The following is a 19,590-nucleotide window of genomic DNA, read 5'->3' as shown; positions in this document are numbered from 1 at the left end:
TTATCTATAATTGTAAACACATGTTATTTGAAATGCATTCGTTACTACCATGGTCTTTAACACCAATCTTGCATTGTGCTTCAGCCAGGAGGGTTCAACAAACTACTACAGCTTGGTACAATCTATGCCTCCTATGATTCATATTAGTATGAGGGTGGAGCTGGGGAACAAGGTGAAGACTGCAACTAGGGGCAGAGAAAACTTTAAAGTCCTCAGAGTTCTCTTTGCTTAATTAAATGACATTTTGTAATCAGTTTTGTTAAGTGTCCCAGGCAACACCATCATGTTCCCTCAAAGAACTGCCCTGTGGCCTCAGCCACTGAATAGTCTCACAACTTACATCATCACAATGAGCTGCAAATATATTTTAGTTTAGTTTAGTTCTTGTTTTTTAACTCGTTTGGTAAAAAATCATTTAGTGGATGACAATTCATCTTTGCTAATCAGATCATATGTTTATCAACATTTTCTTACCATCAATTTAATTCTTTTTAAGTTTAGCTCAGAGAAAGAAATGAGTATCAGGCCCATTTAAAAAATTTTCTGGCAGTTAAAATGGGGCTCAGCCAGTCACCATTATGTATAATATTTCTCTATGTACTAGAAGAATATCACTTGCCAGCATTCTCTAGAGTAGGTAATTCCAATTTCTGTTACCTTTTCTCACAGGTGTCATTTTCCTTCCTTTTAATCATCATTATATCTATCACCTGAGCTATATTCTATATTTTTTTTATGGATGTAGAACTCAAGAGGAGATGTTATTTTTCATAGGGTTCTGCCCATATGGAGAATAAGGGAATGAAATACCTTCTAGAGATTCATTCAGGAAATACAGTTTCTATATTATCTATTAATTCTAATTGTCATTTAAAAAAACAAATTTTACCAGGCACAAAATCAAATTCCATAGTATGAGTAATATTAATATTTATATCATTTGGGGCTATTAGGGCTGCACTAAGAATTGTCAACTCCAGATATATTTGAAATGAGTGAAAAGGTGGAATAAATATGTTATATTAAGATCATAAATTCCAGCCCTCTAATTAGTGAGCTCTGTGACCTTAGAACTAGCATGTTAAGACTACCAAAGGCTGCATGATGAATAAAGGACCGAATAGATGGAATTCTTACAACGTAAAGAGGAGTTGTTCTCAAATTTGCTAGATAAGTCATTTTTCTTTTTTTGCTTATATGTGGATTTTTTTTATCATATTTTAAGTTCTAGGATACATCTGCAGAACGTGCAGGTTACATAGGTGTACAGGTGCAATGGTGGTTTGCTGCACCCATCAACCCGTCATCTACATTAGGTATTTCTCCTAATGCTATCCCTCTCCTAGCCCCCCACCCCCCGACAGTCCCCAGTGTGTGATGCCCCCCTGCCTTCCATGTCCATGTGTTTTCATTGTTCAACTCCCACTTAGGAGTGAGAACGTGTGGTGTTTGGTTTTCTGTTTTTGTGTTAGTTTGCTGAGAATGATGGTTTCCAGCTTCATCCACATCCCTGCAAAGGATATTAACTCATCCTTTTTTATGGCTGCATAGTATTCCATGGTGTATATGTACCACATTTTCTTTATCCAGTCTATCATTGACAGGCATTTTTGTTGGTTCCAAGTCTCTGCTATTATGAACAGTGCTGCAATAAACATATGTGTGCATGTGTCTTTATAGTGGAATGATTTATAATCCTTTGGGTATATACCCAGTAATGGGATTGCTGGGTCAAATGGTATTTCAATTTTTAAAAAAAGTTTTCTGAGAATAACCCAAGATATAATGAATCAAAGTTGCTGGTGGTGGGAAGGGGAAGGGTCTGGGAATCTGTACTTTTCAGAAGCCTCTCTGGGGTCTATTATGACTGAGTAATATTGAGAATTGTGCCCAATCTCAAGAGTTTCTTTCAATTTTCAGTTTCTATGTTCTAAAATACCTTTTCTCCCAGGGACCCAGTTTTCCTCAAGAAAGAGCCTTGACCTTCTCAACTTTAAGGTTCTGCCAATTCTAGTTTCCAGGAGTCAATGTTTCTCCTGGTATCTTCCATGCTTCCTAGTGATATTCCTTCTTCAAGGTGCCAATGACATCACACTGCCTTGTCACAGTTTGTGGCATTTGCCACCTGAATCTGTTCTGCCTACAAAGTGCCTCCCAATGCTGTCTCAGCCTTTCACTTTTGCCTCAAAATGCATTGGTTCTTGGTATCATCCCCTTGACAAGGTAACAAATACATTTTAATAGAGATCTTATGGAGATAACACTAAAACAAAGGTCTAGTGGTGAACATTTAACCCCTTTGGCTCGATGATAGAGAGGTTTTGTGATTCCTCTCAGATCTTATTATAAAGCACAGTGTTGGACTCCAACCCAAGTACTTACATATTTTTTCATGTTTAACTTTAGTATTAATCCAGTGGCCTAAGATCTGAATTTCCAAATTGGAATTCCAGAACAATAATACAATTGTCTATTATGAAATAGGTTATTCTTTCCATGGAAGAATATATGCTATAGAAATACTTAGGCATTATTTGATGAGATTTCTTTTTTATTTGTGTCAGGGAAGGGTAAAAATTTCCAGGTTTTTAGGGGTCAAATGAATGACTTTCTTGCTTTTTCTCTTACTTGGTATTTCATCCTAGAAGCCATGAGGAAGAAATTAAAAACTCATCAACAAACCAGCGTGAGGGCTGGGATGCTAAAAGCTTTCATCTGTTAAATACTATGCTCCTGTACAACCCCTTTTGAACTCTTCTGCTCAGTAGATTAATTTGTTACCAACTTGGTACTGAGCAATGGGGATTCTTGAGAGGACAGCTGTCTCTATCACCAGTGAGAAAGAATGGGATCACATAAACAAGGTGTGTGTTAGCGGCCCAGGCAGGTGATATGGTAGTATTAGCTTCCCTTTGGGGCCTGAGGCAAGCAAAGGCTTGATCAAGCTACCTAAATCAGCCTCCTGTCTGCTCCTGTTACCTTGCTTATTTCTCTCATAGTACACAGAGAACTCTCATCCTCTGTTTCTTGTTTGTTTACTGTTGTCTGAGTATCTCTACCTCAATGTAAACTCTCAGAGGCAGAGTTTGCTCACTTTTCTATCTCTAGTGTTTAAAACAGTGCTTGCTCCATAGTTAGGTGCTTCATCAATATTTGTTGAACAAATGAATGAGTGAACACTTTCATACAAATTCTAAGTGGACGTATTTAAGGCATTGAATATTTGTGATCTACACAGTGATACACTGCGCTAGTTCATATTTGATTTACCTTGATGCTTTGCTCTGTGGGGCTCTCTGGCAGAATGAAAATTGAGAAGGGGATAAGTAGTAAGGGTATAGGGTAGATGAATTCAGAAGGAGGCTCTGGACTCTGTCATATCTCATGGCACGGCCAAGATATCTAGGCTATTGCCTCTCTAACTTTCTCCAGTTTCCTGGTATTCTATATCAGTGTATGTAAATGTGTTTTACACTTTCAGTTTCAAATTCACTCTTATCCACTCCCATGACTTTACTTATCACTATTCCAACTTTCATTCATCTTCTGATGTCTAAAGCTATTTTAATCAACTGCTCAATGGTACCCTCATTTTAGTGCCTTGCTGGTACCTGAAGTACAACATGCCCCACATGATACACTTGATGTTACCTCCTTTCCATCTGTAGTTTTCTTCCAGTAGCCTCTATCTCAGTGTCCTGCCAGATTCTCATTGAAGAAACCCTGGAATTATCGTAAAAGCCTCATTTTTCTTTATCCCTCACATTCAATTACCAAGGTCTGATCTGTTTTCTGACTTATTTGACTTTATCATCATCTTCTTATCCTTGTTTCTACCATTTTAGTCCAGACCACCATCATCTCTCCTTTGGACTACTGTGATAACTGATCTCTTTCCATGGTTGTTCTATCCCAATCTATTATCTGTAGGATGTTCCTGTGGCCTATGAGGTCTTTCCAGATCTGGTGCTTGCTGACTTTTCTGATAGTTTATACTACTTTTATCCTTGTAATCTACTCCACAGCCACCATATTCTTTATTGAGTTTTGTGAGCAAGCCATCCTTCCTCACACATCAGGACCTCAGTCATGCTAGTGTCATTGGCTTTATGACCAGCTAAGTCCTACTCATCCTCCTTAAGGCAGCTTGTAAGGTTTCATGGAATAGTCCTCTATGATTTCCCAGTCTAACTAGATTGTCCTGTTAGATGCTCTTTTATCATACTTCTCTTTTGCTTCACTCATCATTCTTATAATTAGTTGCTCAGTATTTGTCTTTGTCACTCCTTGACACATAGTCAGTGCTATGTCATACTGAAAGAATAGCATCCCCTTCTTCCTTCCTTCCACAATTGATTTATGATTTATTCTCAAGTTATAAAATGTTACATTCTTAGAGAACTCTAGACCCAATAAGTCCACCTTAATCCATTGTGTTCTATTACATTTTGTATAAATGCCTATCAAAGCATTTATTACATTGCACAATAATTTCTTGTTCACAGGTCTGCTTTCCTGGACTGTCAGCTCTTTAGGAGTAGGTCCACATGTGACTTATCTTTATATGCCTGGTACACTGTCAGAAATATTAGAGATGATCAAAATTTTGCTAAATAGATGTATGAAGAAACTTCCCAGAGAATGGAGAGTAGAAAAACTTTGTTTATAGCCTACTGGTTTCTTAATTTTCAAGAGACTGAAAATATTTAGGGACTTTGATTTTATACTAAATAACTAAAGTATTCATACTCTCTTTCTGGAATTCAGTTTTTTCTGTATATTTGTATTACCCTAAATAAGAAAAGCAAGTATTTTTTCACTACATCTTTTTTTTCCCCCAGAACTGCTTGGATCAGAACCTTCTTTATATAGATGAGTAGTTTATTGAAATGTTTTCCTTGGTCAGTCCAAAGTAGAACAGCCTTGTTTATTAAAGGTATTGTTCCAAGGTCCAGGATATTAAAGTCGTTTTCTTTCCAAATGAATTCAGAAATGTTTTCAATTCTACCTTGCCAGACAGTCAGTGTCATTCAGAGCTCAAAAGCAGTGGCGATTCAGTTTTAATCTCATTTATAAAATATAGGTGGGCCTCACTGTTTCTGCCAAGCAAATGATTCTTACAAGAGAAGTTTAGAATTGTAAGTTTTTTTCAGTAATGTTTATTTCAACTTTCTGTATTTAATGTACAATGCCAAGGTTTTGAGGGGTTGAATTGCTTTTGGCCACAAATTAAGTAATAAATGTTAATGCTACTGTCACCCGGGTGTTCTGATTTCTAGTTTGACACTCTTTTCTCTACACCATCTCTCCCACTATGCAGACTTGCCTTACAGAGGCAGGTGGTGACTGTGAGAGAATGTTGAAACAACTGTGCTCAGCATCAGTGTCATTGGAAATAACACCCCTATCCTCCCCTAGCAAACCAGCAATTAGCTTCAAGTGTTTGGAAACAAAATGACTATTTCTAGCAGAAATGATGTCTGAGATTAACCAAGAAAAGGCAGAGTATCCTTTCAAATCCTGCCTTTCCTCTCTCTGTCTCAAACACACACATACACACACAACATGTATCATTCTTATTCAATGGGTCAGATTATAATAAATCTGAAAGCAAACAGTATAATGTTTTCCAGTGTTTATTTAATTGACTAGGTCTTTACATTCAAATCTTAGGTGGTGGCTAGTTTAGATAAATTGTGATGTGGAATTCATGCATGGATGAGAGTGCTTGCTTTATGATACCAAGATAAATGCCAGACTGAAATAATATCTTAAGGTCAGCCAAGCTGAAGTATGTAAATGGTAACAGATCTACATTTCCATTTTTATAAAACCCTGCTAATAAGGCACATTTAAAGGCTAAAATATCACATTCAGCAATGAAGACATTAATTTTGCTTATAAAACACTATTCACACTTGTAGGATTTCTGAGTTTTAGGAACCCATGAGAATTAAGAGGCCTCTAGTAAATGAACACACATCAATAAAATACCCTTAGTGAGGCATTTTTTTTTTAAAGCTGATACTGTATTTTCTACTTAAAGTCACTGACAGTGGAGATGGTATGCACAATGTTTCACAATGACTTTTTCATGTTTTCTTCCTGTTCTGAATATTCCCTACGTGCTTTTGAAATCAATAGTGCTGCAGAGATTTACCTGTTCTTTAATATTTCAAAAGCCCTTTCCTCGATGCCCATCTTTTCACTTAGAGTTTAGTAAACCTTGACAAACCCTTATGTTTCACGTCTTCAAGTAACACGGAGGATTTCCCACTTCTGTGGTTTGCCTTTAGAGCAAGGCATTTGGCTTGCTCTAAAATGGCTAACCACATGCTACCATCTGCATCATTTCTAGGGAATTTGATACTTTTTTATTGTTTATTATTTTAAAGGCACAATATAAGCTTCAGAATACCTTTGTAATAGTCTCGTAAATTTTTATCAGTGACAAAGTTAGATTCTTATTTGTAAAGAGAGATGGATGAAGGAAAGTGAACAGAATAAAACAGGATCAAATGATAGCCACTTGCTGATTATCATTCTGCTCTGTCTGTATCTATCATATTGTAGGCAGTAAATGCCATTATGAATTTAAATAAAAGTCATTGCTCACACATACTTGAATGGAAGTAAGAGGGAGCAATTTGGTATATCTCACTGTGAGGACATGACATTTAAAAGCAATCAAGTTCATTTCTTGGCAATGACATCTCTTTTTGGTCAAAACTAAAATGAGTGCTATTTGTTCTATGGAGGGTAACAAAACTACATGGGGAGTTAGCACAGTCCAGTGATAAGAGAACCAGACTTAAAAACTGAGTGATGCATTTTATAATGGGACAAATAGCTAACATTTTATATTTGAACATTCTTTGGCTCACTCAATCTTCATTATTATCTCCTGACACACATATTACTATTGAGGGAACTGAGGCAGGAAGTATCAAATAATTAGCTCAAGTACACATGGTTAATAAGTAGAGGAGTCAGAGTTTGAACCCAGGTAGTCCAACTCCAGAGTACTATGTTCTGGTGTCTACTTGCACTGGAAAAATCAATCTTTAATCTATAAATCTGAAATAGTCATTGATCCCTTTAACAGTGCTGAGGATATGAAGATGAAATAAAATGTTTACTTTTCCTGCCTGGGATAGTTCAAACTATCCCAACAAGGGAAATAGTTTTTCTTATAATCTTATGTAAATTATAAGCCTCAAATTGGGCTTATAATTCTGTAATTTATAAAGAATAAGCAGAAACTATTTTTTTTTTTTTTGCATATAACTGGAATAGTGGCCAATTGGGTTATTGCACTTGGTGTTTCCCTTCCATGATCTTGTTTGACTCATGTGTGCAGATACCTGCATATGTGCTCACTCCCTCCTGGCATCAGGTTCCTTTCATTACCTTGTGGATACCTTGTGGATAAGGATATTAGGATATCTTGACCTCTAGAGTCAGGAAAACCTGGGCGTGAATTCCAAGTTTTTCATTTACCAGGTGCCTGATTTGGACAAACTTCTTACCATTTCTCATCCTTAGTTTTCTGACGATAAATCCAAACCAAGGATTGATTTGAGGATTAAGTGGAATAATACGTATACTAAGTAACATAAGAACTCAGTAAATGTTTGTTTCTCTTCTCTCCTTTTTATCTCTGCTTTGTCTTTCTCCTCTCTCCGTTCTTTTTGTCATACTCTGTCATAGAATTATTTTTTTTCTTTACATCATCTTATCATTAAAGAAGGTCAAGTGTGATGACCATAAACCCTGAGCCCCACCTTGACTTTCTTAGGAGTTTTCTAGATGACATTGGGAATACATTTGAGGATCTTTATCTCTACTTATCCACCATCCACCTGTCAAATGACATCTGTGTACTTCATTTACATGCAAAGAAGGTATGTTAATTGTTGATCCAGAGCTTTGAGGATGAAAAGTACCACGTAGGTGGTTGCTACTATCATTTATTAATCTGTGCTTCAGGTGAGTTCTTTCCTAAAGATGAAATCACCATTGCTTTTACATATTTTGTCTCTTTCTCATAATTTCCCTAGCTTTCCCTTTGTCATACTCTACCCCACCCTTACTTTCCAGGCCTTTTATGTTTAAATGCCATTGCAAGATGACAGATAGAAATTTTCTCTTTGTATTCTAAACTTGTGCATATTGACCTTTTAGAGTAAGCCAGCATTTTGGAATTAGGTTCAAGAGTTATTAGAATTGCTTTTATGAATCATGGCTGAAGGTAGCTTTGGTCCAGAAGGTTACCCATGTGTTTGTATCTTTAGAGTCCACTATCTAGAGCACAAATAATTCATTAATTCATTATATGAATAATTATTAAACATCTATTTGTGTTAGGTGCTGTGTCAGGTTCTGAGGATATATGACCTTAAGATGGGTCTGGAAGGAGCTGCCAGCCTGGCAAGGGAGATAGACTTGTAATGATAGTAAAAGGCATTTACTGGGCATCTACTTATAATGCAAGACACCTTCCTTAAAATGCCTCATTTAGTTCTCACAATAAATATCAAATAAGGAAACAGAGGCTCAGGGAGGTTAAGAAATGTGCCTATCTTTTGAGTCAGTAAGTGGTAGAATAGGATGTAAACCCAAATATGTCTTATGTTAAAGTCCATCTTTGCACTATTCTCTGCTACTTCATGAGTTAATAGAATATTTTGATATGTGCATGAGTGCAACCAAGGTAACCAGGAAATGGTAATTGGTGTTTGAGATTTTAACAACAGTCATTTTGCATTTATATTTGACCTTTATTGTGACCCACTCCATTTCCTAATGTGGGTGACTGACAAACACAGAATGACACCTGCCAGAAGGTGGAGATATGCTTGAGACCTTCTGTTCTAATTAGCCATTTCTGACCAATGAAATCATAACGGTCCTGACAGAGGGACACTTATTAAAAGCAATGCTTTTAAATCAAGAAAAAATATACAGGAATGAGTAGAGAGGTGAAATTTTTATTCAAGAGTTGTTTTGTGACAATCACATGGTAAATGGTAATCAGATGTTTAGAACCATTTTAAAGTTGGATATTGGCTTAAATCGAGCTCTTTTTATAATTTTCACCTCTTTAAAGAGAGAATAGTGCCCTTTATTATCATAACCCTTGCCTGGCACAAGGTTGTCACTCATAAATGAATGAATGCCTGTAGCAGCAAAAATATTTTCCTGAATCATAGTTATATATAATGTCCATGCTTATCCTATACTGTTTGGGAGTTTGGGAGCACTTTGGGATTAGCTATGTAGATAATAAATTGAATCTTTATAACTTTTTAAATGGATGCAAAGATTTCAAACTTATATCAACATAGTTGATTTAGCAGGTCAATTACTTAACAGCATAGTGTAGTATTTAAAAAGATGTATTATATTCTGGACTTAGGTTTTATGGGTTTAAGTCCTGGCTCCATTGTTTTATTAACTGGGTGACTTGGGCAAGTTACCCTCTTTCACTCTTTTTTCATCTTGTATGGTGGGAATAATAGTCACATTTTTCTCATTGTGGACAAATGAGAAAATGCACATACAGTAAAAGGTTAATTGTTGTTGCTATTATTATTACTATTATTTGAGCTTGTTGTTAAAGTAGTGACTAAGGCAAGGTTTACGTAGCACAGGGTTTAAAAAAATTCAGAAAAAGTGTATAGTTACATCACATGAAATTGGGTCAGTCCTGGTCTCCTTAGAGGCAGAGCCAAAATGGGATTAAATTTGTAAGTATTTTATTAGGGGAAATATCTGTGTGAGAAAAATGGAGAGATAACTGGAGAAAGCTAGGAGAGCATGAGAATGATGCCAGACATTGGTAGGAAGAGCAGCAGTAAGGGAGAGAAGTAGAGACTGGTGTGTGGATGTGCCCTTGACTCTTGTGTGATGTAAGGAGGCTCAGCATAGCTGTATGTCAGAGTTGTCTGTCAGATAAGTCCTCCTGTCTCCTAGGAATGGACCTGCCTTAGTGTCCCTGTCACATCCTACAATGGGCTGGAAGGAGCTCTAAGGGGCATGACCTAGCACAAATGCAGCATAGAGCTCCGAACCCAGTAGTAGGGGCCCTTGGTCAATTACGTTCTTTATATTTGGAAGTCTGTGAGCCCCATTTTTATTGTTGTCATATATACTAATTTAATAATTCAATAATTCAATATCTGGACATTTTCTATGTACATAGAACTACTTTGCTAGAAGTTGTAAGAAACATAAAGATAGTTAAGACATATTTCTGCTGCCCTGGCCATGTAATTCAAACAAGAGACTGTATTTTGTACCAAATGAAGTACAGAAAAAGGCATCCTACAAGAACAGGGAAACAAGCTCTAAGTTGCATTTTGCTTTGAAGGATAGGTGAGGTTTGACGGGGGGTAGGGAGGGGCCTGGAGGTTGTGTCAGACTGAGACAATAACATGAGCAAAGGTATGAAGGGAGAAAATATGGGGCTTTCATGGGGAAACTGTTAGCACAGGATATCTGGATATGTGGAGGAAGGTGATAGTTACATGAGACATAGGTTGAAAGTTGAACACAATTAACAAAGAGGAGCTAAGCTGTGGAGCACTTTGAATATGAGGCTATAAGGGGCTCAAATAACTCAGCAGCAAAAAACATAATCTGACTTTAAAATGAGCAAAATATCTGAATATATATTTCTCAAAAGAAGACATACAAAAGGCTAACAGGTATATGAAAATATATACATCACTAATCATCAAAGAAATGCAAATTGAAACCAAAATGAGATGTCATCTCACTCCGGTTAAAACGGCTCTTATCGAAAAGTCACAGAATAACTAATAGATGCTGATGAGGCTATATAAAAAGCAGAACCCTTGTACACTGCTGGTAGGAATGCAAATTAGTACAGATGCTATGAAGAATAGTATAGAGGTTCCTCAAAAAGCTAAATATAGAACCACCATTTGATCCAGCAATTCCACTCTTGGTTATATATCCAAAAGGAAGGAAATCAATATATCAAAGATATCTGCATTTTTATGTTTATTGCAGCACTATTCACAATAGCCAAAATATAAAATTAACTGAGTGCCCAACAATGAGTGAATTGATAAAGAAAATGTTATATACACAATGAAATGTTATTCAGGCATATAAAATAATGAAATTCTGTTATTTGCAGCAACATGGATAGAACTGCAGAGCATCATGTTAAGTAAAATAAGACAAACACACAAAGACAAATATCGCATGTTCTCGCTCAAATGTGGGAGCTAGAAAGTGGATCTCCTGAAGATAGAGAATAGATCAGTCCCCAGAGGCTGGGAAGAGTAGAGGGGTAAGGCCATGCAGAGAGGTTGATGATGGATACAAATGTACAGTTTTAAAAAGAAATACGACCTAGTGTTCTATAGATATATAGGGTAACTATAGTTTACAATAATCTATTGTACATTTCAAAATACCTGGAAGGGAATAATTTAAATGTTTCTAGCATAAAGTCAAATATTCAAGGTGATGTATATGACAGTTACCCTGATTTGATCTTTGTACATTATTTGAATGAATTAAATTATCTCATGTACCTCCCCCCAAATATACTTTATTTTAAATGAAACTATTAAAGGTTTTTAAATAGAGGAGTGATGAAGTGACATAACGCTAAAGGAGTTTTAGGAAGAGAACACTATGGCAGCAAACAGAAAGTACTGAAAATGATGACAGGAGGAAGGAAGAATGGCTTACAAATACAGCTACAGTGGTTCAGATGAAAAGTAATTAGGACCAGTTATAGAGAAGAGCAGGAGTGAAGAGGAGGTTAAGGGGCAAGTCAAAGGTAAAGTAAGCAGAATTTGAGGACTAGACTTTGAGGAGAGAGAGAAGTTAAGACTACCTCTGAGGTTTTCTTCTGGAAGATCTGAATATTAGGATGCCACTAACAGAAAGAGCATACAAAAGTAGAAACAGGTTTTGTAGGAGGTGAATTCTGCTTTGTCATGTTGAATTACAGGTATTTTCTCAACATTCATGTAGAATGTCCAGAGGTTTGGAATTGAGTGTCTAGAATTCAGGATTAGGTCAGGTTTAAAGTATATGTACCCTAATAGAAGAGATGGATCTAGGTTCCCTAAGTGTAAATAAAACAGTGAAATGAAAAGAGGACTGAGGACAGAACCTTGGGGAATTATATGTGTAATGGAGGTAGGTGGAAAAAGATGAATCCAGCAAACCAAAAAGAGCTTTAGAGTGTGCCTGGCTTAGGACAGTGTAATTAATTATGTGTAATTAATTAACTATAAGTTGTGATGATGGTGAATTGTTACTGAACACCCATTATACATCATCTTCCATTAGCTGAAAAGCTAAGCCAGATGAAGACCAATAGAGACCAGTATATTTGGCAGCTAAAAGATATCAATGATCACGAATAGGGTAATTGTTGTGCAATGATGGGAGTGGAACAGAGACTACAAGAGAAAGTAAAAAGGAAATGATGAAGGAATTTATTCTGGAAAAGTATATAAAATGGTAGAAAAGTGCTTAGTATATTTAACATGCCACCAAATAATATTGTGGAAATATTTTGCAAAAATAATTCAGGAAAATATGGCCTAATATATGCATACATATTTATATACATATGTGCATGCAGTGCTCTGTTGTTCCGTATTAGGATTTGCTCTGCAAAATTGTCCATTATTAAATGTTCACAAAAGCTGTCATATATGTTTTACAGGCAACTGTTCTATCACAAATGTACCCTAAAACTTAAAGTATAATAATAATAAAATAAAATTAAATTAAATTAAATTAAATTAGAGAAGACAAATCATATTGAGCCCCTACTACAAGAAATATATTTTATTATGGTCCCTACTTTATAGATGAGGAAAGTGGGGCTCAGAGAGAGTACTTCTCTAAGGCCACACAGCTACTACATGGTAGAGCCAGGATTACAAGTTAAGTGAAGCAACATGAAGAGTGGTTCAAAGCATGAATAATGGAGCCAGACAACCTGGATAGGAGGAACAGGGGCTTTAACACTTTTCTAACACTGTGACTTCAGGCACCCTTTCTGTGCCTGAGTTTTCTCATCTGTAAAATGTAGATAATAATAATAACAATCTACCTTTTGGTTTATTGTTATATTTGACTGACACATAGTAACACTTTAAAGACATGTTATTATCTAGTTGTAAGGTCCAAACTTTAGCCACTGGGCTATATTGTCTTCTACAGACTCTGAGAAAATACACTGTTTACTAGAGTTGGGAATTACAGAGAAAGAAACTTTATTTTCTTCATTCCACTGTAAATTTAGGATGTTTTTAAAACTATTTTCCCCAAGTTAATGAAATCTCTCTCTCACTCTCTCTCTCTCCCCACCACCCGCCCCCTCCCCCCACCCCCCACCACACACACACAGTAGCAGCTTACTTTTGGACATAGAAATTCAGAAAAGCACATCAAGTACTTCAGTCTTCTATAGTTATTTTATACAAGTTTTTTTTTTTAACTTTTCCTGGGCTATCTGCTTTCCCAGTAAATATAAAACATAAACGTAATTTATTCAAATGTGAAATTTCAAAACAACAGTCATTTGTATTAGAAGACTTAGGAAAAACATGAAGAGGAATAACCACTTAGAATGGCAGAAGAGAGCATAAGAATTCTAGAGTTGAAATGAAAAAAAATAGGCATTTTAAATTTAACTAACTAAATTCAAAGTTAGGGAGTTCATAGAAAAGAAATAAGTGGACTATATTACTTACATTTTTAATTGGTCATATTTGCATTATGAAAAAATGAAAAGATAAGACAATAGAAGTTACATTTGCAGCCTATTCTTCTTATGAACAAGTAGTCTCTTGATTATTGTGTGGCTGTGGGTACAAGGTCATACTCAAATTTGGCTTTGAGATAGAAGAAAATGCTCGCTTTAATTTGAGCATAATGTGAAATGCTAGCTCCATTTTTTAATAGCAAGACATGCCATCATATTGGTTCCTCAAATAGGTTATTCCCATTGCTTAACTTTGCAATTGTCCCTACAAGGACAAATGTTTCCTTAAAGTCATCCAAAGATAATTCACACTTCTTGCATGTCTCTCTTCCACTCTTGTCTCACTACATCTACTAAGTCTTAGGATATATATTGATACATTTTTTAGTTACAGACATTTATGGTAAGGCTCAGATGTGTATCCTAATTTTATAAATTTCAGCATTCCTAGATCTGTACAATTTATAGAACTTTGGTATCTACTAATATGATATCATTTCAAGGTCTAAACCCCTTAGGAAAGAAGAAAACTGGACTCACTGACAGGTGTGAGCTGATAGCAGAGAATCTCAGGTGTCCATCTTTGGGGATGAGAGCAGAGTGGTTCCATTTGCTACCCCCACCCCCCCGAAGGTACCACAAGGCTGGGTCTGATGGAAGAGGCATTTCTTACCTGAGGTTGAGAGAATGTTGAAATAAAGGGGCCATACAAAACTGACAATCAAAGAGAAGCCTGGTTAGGTAGATATGCAAGAGAATAAAATTTACTTGGGCCATTAGAATGAGGGTGCAGAAGCAGCCTCCTATAAGATGAGTGATTAGCTGGCTGAGGGGGAACTATGAAGCAGTGGAGTAGGATGGGTAGGGAGCAAGTTTGTCTGGGGAGAGCCATGGAGCAGTGTGGTGGAGTTGGGTGAATTAGGGGAACTCATTGCGGTTACGGGGACCTTAAGGAAGACAGAGAATTGGAATAACTGAAAAATTTAGGAATGCAAAATACAATTGGGCTTAAAAACTCACGGTCTGAAAGTTTGAGTTCAGGGCCAAACCCAGCCTTCATTGCTACTTAAATGCACTCAAACAAGGGCACATAGGGAAATCAAAGCTTGTAATTACTTTGACTATAAATGAAAAAAAACCTTGAGTATGTAGGTTGTAATTTAGGTGTCAAAGTGAAATAGTCTCTATAACTTTTTTCTAAGATTAAAAATTAAGATTTTTTTTAACTCTGTTTGTGTGTGTGTGTGTATATGTATGTGTGTGACAGAGATTCGAGCTACTTAGCTGATTGTGAAGGAACTCTCCTACACCTTGCTTATATGGAGACATGAATCTTAAATAAAACCTAGTTGCTCAATATTTTAAACTTTAAAGGTATGCTCAGACTAGACTCTGGCCAGCCTCAGTTATGTTCTGGTCAGGAGGGCTCTCTAATGATGCATAATTAGGAGTTATGCCCTCATTACTTTGAAACTGATTTGCTTCTGGGTGAATTTCTTTAGCTCTATTCTTCCAATAGTGGACTCAGTAAGCTCTTGCATAGCACCAAGAGGAAATGTGTTTAAATCCAGCTCTGGGGTGGATTCGTTGACGTGGCACCCCTCTGATCCTTTGCCAGATGTCTATCCCCAGCTGGCAAAGCTCTCCGCCTTCTTTTCAGTAGTTGTTGTCAACGCTGAGCTTCCTGCCAGCAGGGGCTGGTCTCTCCTCAATGGAGGGCAACATGCCCTCAATCAGCATTTAGATTCTTCTGTGAAGACATTCATGGATAAAATTCCCTGCTGCTTCTCATCTGCCTTCTGTTTTTGGAATTTCCCAGACATCTCTTGAACTGTTAGGCTTCTATGTGTGGCCACTGTAGGATGTGTGTTTGGGGTGGTGATTGGAGAACTGGTGATACAAACTATAGAGACCACTGGGCATGGAGCCTGAATGTTTATAGGCCTTGTTCCCATAGATCTTCAAGTGTCAAGAAGGGGGCTTATGGTGCTTGGCATATGGCCCAGAAGGTTGCATGAGTAAAGGGCCTATGGGTTGAAAGTTTTCCTTTCTTGGAAACCACACAGTGCCATAGTTAATTAAGAGTGTAGGCTCTAGAGCCAGAGAGACTGGCTTAGAATCCCAGTTCTATCTGTTGTTAGTACCGGAGTCGATTAATTGACATATAGTCTCTCAGTGACATTGGGCTAATTATATAACCTTTATGTAATTCACGCTTCTCATTTTTTAAAGTGGGAATCATGACAGTACCTTTTTCATAGGGTTCTTAATGAAAATTAAATGAACTATTTGTAAAGTGCTTTCATCAGTGCCTGGCATTTGGTAAATATTATATAATCGTTTGTTAAATAAACTAGGTTTATGTCTCCCAGGTTTAGTGGAAGGAAAACAAACATTGATTAAGAGAGATGATAAAAGCATTCTGCTTGAGTAAAAAGTAACATCTATAATTACTTTTTACCACTTATTGGCTGCTTACCATGATCTAAATACTATGCCAACCATTTTATGTAATAATAATGAACCCATTCATAGCACATGCATCTGCCAGGCACAATTACAAGCCACTTTATCCACTTTGCTCTTTTGTTCCCTGCATCAACCCTGACAGGAGTACATATATGTCTATTATTATCATCATCCCCATTGTTCTCATGAAGCAAGTTGATGTCAGATAACTTGCCCAAGGTCCCAGAGCCAGGAGTAGAACTAAATTTTGAATTCAGGCAAAATGGTCCCAGAGTCTTTGTTCTTAACCACAGTCCACACTCTCTGTCACGGAAGCCCTCCTTAATTCATCACAGCAATCTTAGGAGGAGGTATCATTATTCGCCTCATTTTGTAGAGGACAACACTAAGATTTAGAGAACTTAGCAAGCTGCCTAAGTTCACACTGCAAGTAAGTGAAGGATATTTGTGATCCAAATCAGTTTGCTAAAATTACAGAATAAAATTAATATATATCACAAAAATCTGTTGTCTGAGTGTACCAGTCATAGAGAGGGGAGGACTATAGGAAAAAATGTTATCAGGGTTGGTCTGGAAAATTCAAGATGTGGAAAGTGTAGATATGCTCAAGGACCTTCCAAACAAGTGTGTTTATAAAAACTCATCAAGAAATTACTTCTGTTTTTAGCTACTCTTGCTATCGGTCTAATTTAGTATTCTAGGGAAGTATATTTCCTCAAAGAAAATTTTAAAAAGCAGCAGAGATATGTTCGATGTTATAACGTTCACTGAAAAATATCTAAGTGCAAAATTGTATGACAACTTCTAGGAAAAAATATTCAGCCATATGGACAAATCCCTGTAAGGAAATACAAAGTAATAAAAATACTTGCTTTGTTAATATGATGAAATTGTGAATTATGAAATGTTTATTTTAACATTGCTATTTTTTTGCTAATTAAAGTCAACTTAAAAAAAAATCAACCCATTTTGTCAATGCCAATCTATGGTCAGTGTTCCTAGTTCAAGATCATGTGCCTGGCATACTAGAGTAACCTCTCCTCTCTCCCTCATTCAACAACTGTGCACTTGGCTCTTAGCTCCCGGATCCATATGCTTCCATGTGAGCCTTGCACTCCTTTGACTCTACATTTCCATTAGTGTCATCTCCTTGATTTGTAGTGTCCTCTGTTTTACCACTTGCACATCAGCATACTGCCCACCACAAAGCCTTTCATAAAGCCTGCTTTGACTAACACCAACTGGAAGTGACCTCCCCTATTCTGAATGCTTATTATCTGTAGTTGCCATTTGACATATGTGGTCTATTGTGTGTCTATCCTCTCTGTTCTTTTAGATTGTAAAGCTGAGACCCTGGTCTCTGCTGAATTTAGCATCTTTTATCATACCATACAAATTGCAGAGGAAATTCTCAATATAGCTTTGTTTATGGAGATAACAAATTGTGAAAAAGGATGGGCTCTACTCACCCTACTTTAAACTCTAACAGGTATTTTTAGCACTAAACTGTGCCTTGACCTTCAGGGCTAAAGGAATTTTCCAAACTATAGGAAAGTCAGAATTGAAATGGTCTAATATTTCAATGAATTCATTATAAATTGTGTCTCTTAGTAATTTTCATTTATCCTTAGAATTAGAAATGTAGTGTATATTATAAAATTTCTATTCAAATAGTCTATGGATTTGTATAAACAAAGGACAAGTTTTATCATCCTAGACAGATTATCTGCAGATGGGCTAAAAGTCTGGTGCTGTATTTCTGGTGCTTTGACACTTTTGTGTTTACTTGCTATTATAAAATTGCCTTCCAAATTTTTTAATAAACTTCATCAGCATAATCTTGCTTTGTGATCTTTAAACATGATATAAAAATTAATGGTTCAAAGACAAGTTTTTCCAAAGGGGAGAGATGAGATTGATCAGGCAACATTTATGTCCTATAAGCATGGTGATATAAAATTATTATTAGAGAGCCCAAGAATAAAAACTAGAACTTGGCTAAACTGTTTCTTTTTTGTTTTGTTTTTGTTTGCAGCATTTGATCCAAAAAAGTGCTTCTCAAAATTATGTATGCAAAACAAAGGAAAAGACTCTTGTGCTCTTTTTAATGCCAGATTTTATAGTGTATGCATACATGGGTCAGTATGTTTACAAAAAAATTTAAAAGGCTTCTAGAGCTTTGTCTACTTGCTCACAACTCAGCCTATAGATGACTTAAACCATGCAGCTAGTTCAGCCTCAGCTTCGTTTTTCATCAAAATGTCTTTTTGATTTTCAAATTACTTATTCATTGTGAAGAGTCTGTCTCAAAATTGAGAAATAGAGATGACTCTCTCAGTTCTCCAGTGAGGGAAACTATATGTTGGTGCCAATTGACTGGTACTTCACCTCTCTGAGTTGTAATGAAAGCCATTCTTTGTGTTTCACTTTAATGAGAAAATAAGTGGTCCAAAGATTGAAAAATAAATGACATTGAAGGAAAAAGGCAGGTAATTTAAAAGAAAGACAGAAGGAAGGAAGGAAAAAATAGAGAGCTGTTGGGAATGTCTCATTGGAATAGTTTTATAACATTCATTTATATTTTAGCATTACCTACCAGATTTTATTTTCATATCAAAATATAATCTATATTATACATAAGTTCCCTTATTAAAACTGCCTTTGGATGTTCAAAAAAATGCTATATAAAGGGAAGAGCTATATGTGAATTAGATGCCTATGTCAGTATTGCCTAACAATACAGCATTCAACACCATTCTCAAGATTAAAGAAATTAGTTCATAGTTAACATTGATTGACTTGTCCTTAGTTTTGAGATTTTTGCACACTTGAAGTTTCTCTAAACCCCAAGCCTTTGAGAATATAAAGAAAAAGGAACTATATTAATGGATGTTTGATACAGTCTGAACAGAACGAGGAAAGGTAATCTCTAAAGAAATTTCAAAGAAACAGTAGAAAAGAATGTTAATTTCCATGTAAATGTATTCAGAGGCCTAGGTTTTTCAGTCTTTCAAGGTGTAAGAATTAATTACCAGTTTTCAAGAGCAAAATTTATTCATGGTAAGAACTACAGCAATCAGAATCCTCTAGGTGTAAAATTCATGAAATTAATATTGAGCCGATTAAAGTTGAATAAATCATCATTTTTCCTTTGGTGTATTGCAAACTACTAAATGTTTGATGTTGTCTGTGGTGTGTTTGTGAACAGTATTTAAAGACTGCCATATATTTTGGGACTTACAAAGGAAGATATTAAGTATGTTTTTGTTCATAGTAAAAATGCATTAGAAACGATGATTTCCTTTTGTGGTCCAGTGTTAGGTTCTGAATTTTTAAAGAATTATTTAGGTGAT

General features: G+C 36.1%; 1 protein-coding gene across 4 annotated transcripts in view, besides 1 other annotated feature; it reads right to left on the bottom strand.

Moving 5' to 3' along the window:
• GRM3 (glutamate metabotropic receptor 3) overlaps positions 1-19,590 on the bottom strand; it is a 220,971-nt gene that overhangs the window by 140,917 nt on the left and 60,464 nt on the right. The gene's annotated exons all lie outside the window — the stretch shown is intronic.
• Positions 15,217-15,741: an enhancer, noted in NCBI's record as "OCT4-NANOG hESC enhancer chr7:86337538-86338062 (GRCh37/hg19 assembly coordinates)". NCBI's record gives its function as "activates a minimal SCP1, AML or CMV promoter by ChIP-STARR-seq in naive H9 embryonic stem cells {active_cell/tissue: H9 hESC(naive)}" and the evidence as "EXISTENCE:reporter gene assay evidence [ECO:0000049][PMID:30033119]".

This window comes from Homo sapiens, chromosome 7 (genome assembly GCF_000001405.40).
Source record: "Homo sapiens chromosome 7, GRCh38.p14 Primary Assembly".
Classification (NCBI taxonomy): domain Eukaryota; kingdom Metazoa; phylum Chordata; class Mammalia; order Primates; family Hominidae; genus Homo; species Homo sapiens.
Note: the sequence above shows the minus strand (reverse complement) of the source record. Positions and strands in the feature narration are given on the sequence as shown.